This window comes from Homo sapiens, chromosome 22, assembly GCF_000001405.40.
Source record: "Homo sapiens chromosome 22, GRCh38.p14 Primary Assembly".
Taxonomy (NCBI): domain Eukaryota; kingdom Metazoa; phylum Chordata; class Mammalia; order Primates; family Hominidae; genus Homo; species Homo sapiens.
Genome location: NC_000022.11, coordinates 46005927 through 46015976, shown reverse-complemented (window position 1 = coordinate 46015976; position 10050 = coordinate 46005927). Strand labels below are relative to the sequence as shown.

General features: G+C 59.2%; 1 long non-coding RNA gene and 1 pseudogene across 2 annotated transcripts, besides 3 other annotated features; both read right to left on the bottom strand.

Annotated features, from left to right (window-relative positions):
* Positions 1 to 478: 478 nt before the first annotated feature.
* LOC124905134 (uncharacterized) lies at positions 479 to 2396 on the bottom strand. Its single transcript, XR_007068136.1, has 2 exons — positions 2167 to 2396; positions 479 to 1480 (listed from the first exon to the last, which is right to left on the bottom strand). It is a non-coding gene; the product is annotated as an uncharacterized LOC124905134 (long non-coding RNA).
* Positions 1865 to 1954: a silencer, noted in NCBI's record as "silent region_13893". NCBI's record gives its function as "represses an Ori minimal core promoter by ATAC-STARR-seq in GM12878 lymphoblastoid cells {active_cell/tissue: GM12878}" and the evidence as "EXISTENCE:reporter gene assay evidence [ECO:0000049][PMID:35858748]".
* Positions 2105 to 2294: a silencer, noted in NCBI's record as "silent region_13892". NCBI's record gives its function as "represses an Ori minimal core promoter by ATAC-STARR-seq in GM12878 lymphoblastoid cells {active_cell/tissue: GM12878}" and the evidence as "EXISTENCE:reporter gene assay evidence [ECO:0000049][PMID:35858748]".
* A 2803-nt stretch (positions 2397 to 5199) lies between the features above and the next one.
* On the bottom strand, positions 5200 to 9361 carry LOC730668 (dynein heavy chain -like pseudogene; annotated as a pseudogene). The gene has a single exon (NR_027240.1). The product of NR_027240.1 is annotated as a dynein heavy chain -like pseudogene (transcript).
* Positions 8709 to 9700: an enhancer, noted in NCBI's record as "H3K27ac-H3K4me1 hESC enhancer chr22:46402157-46403148 (GRCh37/hg19 assembly coordinates)". NCBI's record gives its function as "activates a minimal SCP1, AML or CMV promoter by ChIP-STARR-seq in primed H9 embryonic stem cells {active_cell/tissue: H9 hESC(primed)}" and the evidence as "EXISTENCE:reporter gene assay evidence [ECO:0000049][PMID:30033119]".

The window sequence follows — 10050 nt, the reverse complement described above, 5'->3', positions numbered from 1 at the left end:
ATTCGATGGGGTCCTTCTTCAACTGCTATGCTATGGACTCAGCTATTTTACAACTCTGTCAGGGGAGAAATTAACTTATAGAAAACCAATTATAAGGCCAATGATCCTGCCCATAGAATGCAAATGAATTTTGCTCCATAGAGACTGAACTGAATTCTGTCCCATGGAAAAGATAATCCCAAACAGTACACTTTATTGCTCTCTATGATATTAAGCACTTTGCACCAATAAGCAAAGCTGTTTCAGCTTTCCTTGTTGCCTACACATCTGTCTTTCCAATTCTCCTTTGAACTGGTTTTAACCTTACTGGTTCCCTTATTAACGAGTTAAATAAAATCTTAGGTGTGTTCAATTTGTATTTGCATGAGAACCATGATTTTGCCTCTAAACATTAATCTTTATCTATAAGAATTTGAATTCATAATATATGTAAGAACAAAAGGAGCTCCTATACATTAACAAAAAGACAAAAATCCAATTAAACACGAATGAAGTTTTTATGCAGAGAAGAAATAACCTCATTAGTAATCAGAGAAAGTAAAATTAAAACAACAGCTTCTCATTTTTCACTCACAGCAGGTTTCAGCTGCTCTGAAGTTGTGGCCGTTGTCAGGATAGGGCCTGGGAACTGGGGAGGGGCTGGTCAGGGCAGACTTATCTGTGAGGTCTGAATATCTTTAAAAAGAAAGATCCTCTGGGCTCCTGGGGGCGGGGTATAGGGCCGCAGGGGACATTGGCAGTCGCCCAGGTGAGAGGACTCAGATCTGGGTACATTTTATTGTAGCAGAGATACTGCACAGGGGGAGTCCAGATGGCTTGGGGCATCTGGGGTTCTGGCAGTGACATCCCTGGGGGCTGACATCTGCCTCTGCCCTGAGGCCTGCAGAAGGAGTCCAGTCTTCTCATGCCAACTAGCGAGACAGAGGTCGGAAGTCACGAGCAGCCCCCCTCCAGAAGTGGCCGGTGCCCTGGTTCAGCTCCAAGAAGCCCTCATGGGTTGGGACATTGCGGGAGGCACTCTTGATGTCAGCAGGGTGACCCGGTGGAGATGTGGGGCTGCTGCAGGTGGCTGGGGGTGGAGGTCCTGCCGCTGTGTGGACATAGACTCGCCAGAGACCGCGGAGGTGCGTGCCTGTCTCCTGGCCCAGGCCTACTGCTGCTGGCACGGTCCTCTCCACCCAGCCCTCCTTCTCTGGGCAGCTGGCCTCGGAAATATTGGAAGGGATAGCCGTGCGCGGTGGCTCACGCCTGTAATCCCAGCACTTTGGGAGGCTGAGGCTGGTGGTTCACTTGAGATCAAGAGTTAGAGACCAGCTTGACCAACATGCTGAAACCCCGTCTCTACTGAAAATACAACATTCGCCGGGCGTGGTGGCACACGCCTGTAATCCCAGCTACTTGGGAGGCTGAGGCAGGAGAATCGCTTGAACCGGGGAGACGGAGGTTGCGGTGAGCCGAGATCGCGCCACTGCACTCCAGCCTGGGCGACAAGAGCGAAACTGTCTCAATAAATAAATAAATAAATAAATAAAAATACAAGAAAGGAAAAAGAAATATTGGAGGGGACTTGGGGTCCAGGGCTGGGCAGGGCTGAAGGCGTAAACATGTGAGAGTCTGGAGCCGGATGAGGTCACGAGAAGACAGGCGGGACAGGGACAGCGCCGTGGGTGCCACTCGAGACACAGGGTGGGCGGGGCCGGCCAGGCCTGGAGCTGGCTGCCACCGGCTGCGGCAGGAGGGAGCTGGCTGCCGCCATTTCAGTGGAGGGTGGCGACAACCCCAGTCTGGAGGGGGCTGAGACCTGTGCTGGGGGCCGCCCGGGGTAGATCCTGTCTTGAAGGTCTGGCGGTGGGAGGGAGGGAAGGTGGCCGCGGGTGGAGGTGGGCGTGGCGCCAAGGGCGGTGTTCCCTGAAGAGCGAGAGTCGGAGCCCGCCGGCTGCCGCAGGGAAGGGAGCGGCGGAAGATGCGGAGATAGAGGGAGGTTCCCAGGAAGGCAGAGGGAACGGGCAGGCCCGGAGGAGCAGGCGGGAATGTGGAGGGGGGTTGGAACCGCAGCACAGAGGGTTTGGGCGCACAAAGGTGAAGGATGTCCCCCGGGAAGCCAGAGGGCACGGCAGCAACTTGCCCGGGTCCCAGGCCTGACTTTCACACACCCCCACCCTGCACCTGGACGGTGACGATCTGCTGGGCCCGGTGGCGCCTGGGAAGGCGGCCGGGGGGAGGTCCGAGTTACTGGAAAGTGCAAGTTCCAACCCAGAGCTGCGCTGAGCAGGGCCGGGCTGCTGGGGCGCCCAGGGCTGCAGGTCCTGGCGGGGCCTCTGGGAAGGCGGAGGGCGCTGACTCAGGCCCTGACTCACCAGGGGCTGCCCTGCGGGGGATCTGGGTCCGCCGAGTCCGGGGAACCTCTCAGGTCTGCCCCCCAGCGACCTTTCCTGGGAATGTTCCAGAGCGGTTCTTACTCCTTCCTGGAGGGTGGCTTCTTTCCTTCCTCCAGAGTTCAAAGCCATTTTCTGCACTTGGCCCCATGGCCTCTGAGCTCAGAGTTCACCCCTCATGGAGCTGGAAGGGACGGTTTCTAGAGAGGCCTCCATGCTTGGACCAGGATGAAAATCCTTCACCATCTTCAATGCAACAAGCTGTTCACGGACCCCCAGTGCCATTCTCTCATTCGTGTGTTCAGGCGTCCCTCATGCCCTCACTCATTTATTCAGCCCATGTGTTCACTGGGGGCCCCGTGCAGGGCTGGGGACGCTGCCATGGAGGAGGCGGAGGCACCCTTGCCCCAGAGGGAGCTCCTGTGAATTTCACTGCCAGCAGCTGGGAGGCTGGTGAGAGACTGTGGAGCCTGCGTCGGGCCAGGCCGGGGAAGGCCTCCTGGGTGATGAGGGCGGAGGTGGGTGCAGCTTGGTGGAGGCCAGGAAGCCCCGAGAGGAGGCCGCCAAGGCGTGGTGGGTTGGGGCAGGTGAGGGCAAGGGGGTGGAGATGGGCACAAGGCCTGGCTGGCACCATGGAAGGTGCAGCCACCCAGACCCCCAGAAGGAGGCTGAGTGTGGGGCCGCAGGACACCTGGGGGCCATGGGACAGGAGGGAGGCCCTGAGGCAGTGCCTGCCTGTGGGTTCCCCACCCCTACACCCCCCATCTCAGAACTCCCTCCAGGGCACACAGTCCTCAGCCGTGGTCCCTTCAGGGTTGGCCCGAAGGTCCTGGCTTCCGTGGGTCAGCCCCATCGATCCAGAGCATAAGGTCCAGCCCATTCTGCCCAACTCAGGCCAGCTCTGGTCCCTTTGAGCTGCAGAGCTCGCATAGGGTCAGGTACGCACAGGGTCCAATTGCTGCCCCTGCCTACGCCTGTGTCCTTCCCTTCGGTCCCCAGTGTTGGCTCCAGGGCAGCCCTGACATCCTGCTGGTGCAAGCTTGCCTCGGAGGCAGCTTCCGGGGGCCCATGTGGCTGCCGGGTCAGCAGAGCATGCTGCTGCCTGCCCCTGGGCTCCAGGCTGTTGGGCTGAGACCCCACAAGCTCCCCTGCAGGCAGGCCGGTGGTCCAGCCCCAAGTGGGGAAGTGGCAGCGGGAGGGGTGCTGGGAATGCCACTGCCAGGGAGCCCACAGTGACACAGACCAGGGAGCTTCTGCAGGCCTGGGAGCTGCTCTGTAGATGGCACCCCTTGCCCTGGGCCCCATCCTTATCTCCTTTCTCCTTAAAATCAGAGCCTCTCCCCTGCAGGCCAGCCCAGTGTCCCTCAGCTCTGGGTCCTTCTAGCCTCAGTGCCCCTTGGCTTCCCATGCTGCTGAATCACAGTGATTGGGATGACAGGGTCCCGCCTCCTCTGCCTCTGAGTTCCAGGACCGCAGACGCCATTGTAACCCACGCACCCGCAGAGGCCTGTCTATGAGCTCCTGTCGTGCTCTGGGTCTCCCCAGAAGCCGGCCCTGAAGCAAAGATTCATGTGAGTGGCCCCGGGAGGGAGGGCCTCGGCCAGTCCAGGGCACTCCGCTAGTGGAGTCAGCCACCGCCTGGCCCTGGGCTCTGTCTCGGGAGCCTGAGCCGGGAGGGCAGGCCTCTGAGTTGCCCCTGTGGAGGGCTTTTGTCCCCAGCCCCATCCCTCCCTGGGGGAGGACCGCCTCCCGCACTGCACTCTGGCATTCTGGGTTTGCCTGGCTTGGGGCCGAAGACAGCATCTGTCCACAGTAGCAGCAAAAATACCCTTCACACATGGGCCCAGGACTGGTCACTCTTTGGGGGTGCCCCTTGGGAGGGTGGAAGTCCCACGGGATATGTTGCTGCTGAGCCCCAGTCACTGTGGCTGGACAGAGAAACCCTATTCCTTTATCCGCTGAGATCCTGCTGTCTTCATTCTCCTGAATGGCTGGGCAAGGGAACTGGGTGCCAGAGGGCAGAACTGGGGTAGTGCCTGCCCCGGCCCTCCCAGCCTCTCCCCTCCACTCCCTGTCCCCACCGCCAGCCCCAGCTTGTTCCCCAGAGACCCAAGGGACAGGCTGTGGGGCCTGGCAACTCAGCCCCGACGGGCCCAGTCTAAACCGGTGTTCCGCCAGGGAGGCCCATTTGGCCGTCCGGTTGCCTAAACAGCCCAGCCTTTGTCCGGGGCGGTCACAGGCGCTGTTTGCTCAGTGCCCGGCTTGTTTTTCCCAGGCCAGTGAGGCAGGCAGAGGCACCGGAGCCATGGAAACAGCACAGACCACCTGTCCTGCCCCAGCTCCGCTCCCGCTCGGTTGCTTTCTCTGCCTCTGTGGACCTCCTGGTGCGCTGGCCCTATCCCAGCTGGGCCCTGGGCAGAGCAGGACTCACTGTCTTGCCCCCGCCCACCCTGGGACTTCAGCTGGGCCCAGCACAGAGAGAGCCAAGGGGTTTCTGGAGCTCTGGAGTCCCTCCACCTGCTCTCAGCACTCACCAGACGCAAGCTCTGTGGACCATGGGGACTGAGGGCTCCTTCCTCTGCCCCCCGGCACTCCTTCCCCCAGCCACTCTCCTGGGGAGGGGCCAGGGATGAGGCCAGCTCAGGGAAATACTCTCTGACCTGAGTTGCCCCAACAGGAAATAGGCTATCTTGAAAGGTGGTGAGTTCCCTGTCATGTGAGGCATGCAAGGGTAGACTCCTAGGGCTGCTATAAGGGAATCTTTATTGTATGGGAGGGGACATTAATGGATCGAGTGAGTATAGAAAGAGTTCTTTCTTTTGTTCATTCATTCACTCCATTTATTGACTGACTCATTGATTCATTCAGAAAACACCAGTGGTGTGGCATCCATCCTCTGGCCTAGGCTGGGTGCCAGGTGCAGAACATTCAACCGTGAGACTGCAGTCATGACTCCTGCTTTCATGGCAGGCAGAGTCACATGGGTAAGAGGATGTGGGGGAGACACACATGAGAATGAACAAGGCCTCCAGGAAGGTGGGGTAGGAGCCGAGAGGGATCAGAGAGATTATGAGTTTCGTGCCCTATTCCATGGGTGGAAAACTGAGGCACAGAGGGATACTCATGCCACATAGAACCTGGATAACTCCCCAGAGCTTCTGGGTCCACAGTCATCCAAGCTGCAAACGCCGCTGAGAATCCTGAGGAGGGGAGGCTCCTTCCAGGTGTTGGGAGTGGCTTGGGAGTGCTCCAGCAACCCCGCATGCCCCAAGCACTGCTTATGGGCCAGGCTGGGGTGGGGAATGCTGAGAGCACTGGGGAGAACCTGTTCTTGGGACTGACTTCCAGATTAAGACAATCTTGCTTCGAGGGGCTGTGTGGCTGGCTTTAAGCACCAGGAAGTTCTGATCTTCTCACCTGTTCTAGTTAATTAGTGCTGCATAACAAACAGCCCCAAAACAGTGACTAAAACTACAGCCACTTTATTACGCTCAGGAATTCTGTCCTGAAAGGGCACAGTAGGGACAACTCCACTCTACTCTGTGTGGTTCAGTGGCTCACCCGAGACAACTCAAATGGCTGGGGGCCGGGACACCTGCTGCTGGTGGATCCACTTCCAAGATGGCTTCTGCATTCGCATGGCTGGTGCCTGGGCTGGGCTGGCTGGAAGGCTGGAACTGTCAACCAGTGCACCCCCATGTGACTCCTCATGGAGCTTGGGCTTCCTCACAGCATGGAAGTCTCAGGTTGTTGAACTTCCTTCTTAGATGGCAACTTAGGACTCCAAGTTATAAGCCATATGGTCTTTTATGAGTGAGCCTTGGAAGTTACCCAACAACACTTCTGCCGCATTGTCTTGGCTGAAGTAGTCACAAGCCCACCTGGATTCAAGAGGAGAGGCCATAGGGCCCACGCTTCAATGGGAGAAGGACCAAGGACTTTGCAGCCATATTTAACACTGCCACACTAGCCTCCAATTTCCTCCTTTCCTCTCTGAAAATTCTGCCATCTGCCAAAGTTGGGCTTAAATTCCAAGCCAGAAAAACTTCCTGCTAATTCCTATCCCCAGTAACACTTCCTGCCCACCGCTGCATTCTTGGTTATGGTTGCTCTAATAAGTAATGGGGACAGTCATGAATGTGATGCCCCTCACTTGGCAACCATGCCCATGTGTTCACACATGTATATTCTTCTTTGGTTCTTAGAGTAATCCTGTGAGGCATTTTAGATGAGCGAGTGGGCATCTCACATGGAGTTTTGCGGGGTGAGTAGGAGTTTTCCTGACAGACAGGGTTTGAGGAAAAGTATGATGAGCTTGGGCACATGTACAGTTGGGTGGGGCTGGAGGACAGTGTCACTGACTTGAGGCAAGAGGCTTCTCTGTGGAGAAGTGCTCCACACAGTCCTCTGTTTTAGGAAGACTCCTCTGGCCCAGACAGTGTGAAGGCTGGAAGCTGGCCTGGGGGAGCTGGCACTGAGGCTCATTCATGGACCCCCACAAGTGCCTGTCTGCCTGTGCCTCCTACGTGGTTTCACGAGTCCTTTCAACCATTATCTGGGTGGGCATTGTCAACCCATTTTACAGATGAGAAAGCCGGGCTGGGCGCAGTGGCTCATGCCTGTAATCCCAGCACTTTGGGAAGCTGAGGCGGGCAGATCACTTGAGCTGAGTTTGAGACCAGTATGGGCAACATAGGGAGACCCTGTCGCTACAAAAATGAACCAACAAACAAAAATTAGCCAGGCATGGTGGTGTGCACCTGTGGTCCCAGCTACTCGAGAGACTGAGGCGGGAGGATTGCTTGAGCCCAGGAGGTAGAGGTTGCAGTGAGCCATGATCGCACCACAGCACTCCAGCCTGGGTGACAGAGAAAGACCCTATCTACAAAACACACACACACACACACACACACACACAAAACAGATGAGAAAACTGAGGCACCAAGAGGTGTTTCTGGAATCCAAACTTGGCAGGAAGGCTAGGAGCAGGGTTGGGAGCTGCCCTTGTCTCCTCCACAGGCAGGAAGCTTGTCCTCCCTCTCCAGCACCTCAGCTGCCCCTGCCACCCCCACCCCTCTCAGCCCTGACCCTGTGGTCCAGAAAGGCCTCTGGAGGCCAGCTGTGGGTGGCAGGGCCTCTGGCTTACACCAGCGGGCAGCAGGGAGTGTAGTCACCTGCTCACTCGTGTCTGGTGCTCTTTGTGGCTATAGGAAGCAGAGGACAGGTGCTGGGAGGAGGGCTGGCCTGAGGGGAAACTGAGGCCTGGGACTGCGGGGTCAGGGCTTGGTCTCTGCCACTGAGTTTGCACCTGGCTTCCCCTCATGCCTGGCCATTTGGTTCCGGCTCTTGAAATAGATCCTCTGCCCACCTGGTAGCTGGCCGGCCATGGGCCGTGCCACGCCACCTGCCTGCTGCAGCCCAGCCCGGTCACCCCGAAACGCTGACAAAAGCCAGCTGCTCTCCCAGCAGTCGCTCGGCAGGCAGACACCCGGAGGCGTGACGCCTGCCCTCGTCTGGCACCGAGGCTGCCAGGAGGGCGCTGACGCAGCTCTCCCCACTCCCACTCCCAGGGGCTCCGCAGCTCCTTTCTGGAATGGCTTCCCGATGAGGTAATGCAGCTCGGAGCACAGGAGGAGGCCACTGGGAAACGCTGCTGGCCAGGCCCCAGCTCCCCGGGAAGATGGCTGCCGTGGCCTCCCTGCCCTGCCTGCCCGACGCCACCGCACAAGGGCCTGGCAGGCTGAGAACAGGAGCCGGACTTCAGGCCGGAGGCTTGGCGGCCTCACTCTGGAGTGGCCAGGGGGACCCAGACATTTACTCATCTCCCGGCCGAGGTGGTGCAGGCCTCAGCCTGGGCCTGCAGCCTCACTCTGATCCTTAGAGGCCCCTGCCCTGAGAACACGCCGCCCCCGGGCACACGCGGAGAAACAGAGGCCGTGCCCAGGGTTATAGCAGGAATCAAGGTCTGTTCTCGCCCTGCAGCCCTGGGGGCAAGGGCAGGCCTCCCTCCACACGCATCGCATCGGGTCTGGGAACAGCACCATGAGCTTGCTCCGACCTGCCAAGCGGCTTTTTCCTGGAACATGAGTCTTTTCCGGGCACGGAGCAGAGCACTCAGGCCACCGGCCCTCCTATGCTGGGAGCAGGGGGAGATGCCGGCTGGCCGAGCAAGGAGGCCCCTGGGGCTGTCCACCCGGTGTCCCTCTCAGGGCCCCTCTTGGCCCCATGAAAAGGCGGCACCCCCACCCCTTGCCTCTCCTAGCGCTGCCAGGCTCCCCTGCAGGTGTGACCTGCCTCGCAGAAGCTGCTGAGAGGCAGGAACTGAGCAGGGAAGTGTCCCAAGGGGTGACTCACTTCCCTCACCCACGTTTCCCCCTCTCCCTGCCAGGCCCTGCGCTGGGCGGGCCCTAGGGCCACAGGGACCAGCATGGCCCGGCAGCCCCGGACCTCCCAGGTGGAAGGAAGGACCCGGAGAACTGGAAACATCCTTGCATAGCAGCCCCCGAGTTGGAGGCAGCCACTCGGCACCTGGCACCTGGCCCAGGGGGGCCTCCTGCGGACTCACGTGGGCTCTGGGAGGTGGAGGAGGGTCACTTCCCCCAGGGGAGAGCGGAGAAGGCTGGCAGGACCCTGCTGTGGGTGTGACTGGGACCGTGCTGGGCCCTGCGTTGGCCAGCAGTGTCCCGAGCGGGCCTCCGCGCCGGCAGGCCCAGCTGGGCCTATTTCTGACTCGAATTTGTTGCGAAACGTCGGCAAATCCCCTGCCCTGGCTGGGCCTCAATTTCCCCATCTGCAGACAGGAGGCGGGCGAGAGGGCCCCCTGGACTTCAGGGCCCGTGGGTCTGACGGCCAGGGCTGCAGCTGAATCTCCGAGTTGGAGATGCCTGGTGGGGTGCAGCACACCCTGCGTGCACAGATGAGGGCCGGGCTGGCTCCAGGCGTGCGGGAGGCAGCAGTGGAGCTGGGATCGGAGTCTGGACTCCTCTGCTGGCCTCGAGTGACCCCGGGGGCCTTCTTGTCCCCCCTCCTTGCAGGAAGCACAGGCACCAGCTCCTGAAAGCAGAACAGCTCCCCTCTGCTGCCCCCTGGTGGCTGCAGTGACACATGGTGGCCCAGTCCAGAGCCAGGGCACCCCCAGGGTCACCGACACCCTCAAAGTCATGAGCTCCCCTGGGGCCATGGGTGTCGTAGGGCTGGGGCCACCCTCTCTGGGAGCCCTGGGTGAGAGTGTCACTTGTGATATTTCATTGAATCTTCACCCCTCCCACACACAAGAGAGGGATGATCATGTTTGCCGCTTCACAGCTGGGTTGTCAGTTTCAGGGGGCAGAGCCTGCAGGAAGCTGGGGCCGGAGAGGTTTGAAGTCAGATATTCCAGTGGAAAGTGCTCCCCTCCCCTCCAGTCAACAGCCACCTGGGGCTTCAGGCTCTAGGAGGGGAGGAGTGGGTGGGGAAGGTCGAGGCTTATTATTCTTCGGGGTGTGGGGGTGGTCACTAAAATGGGACCTGGTGGCCGGGCACAGTGGCTCACGCCTGTAATCCCAGCACTTTGGGAGGCCGAGGCGGGCGGATTACCTGAGGTCAGGAGTTCTTGACCAGCCTGGCCAACGTGGTGAAACCTTGTCTCTACTAAAAATACAAAACTTAGCTGGGCATGGTGGCACACACCTGTAAT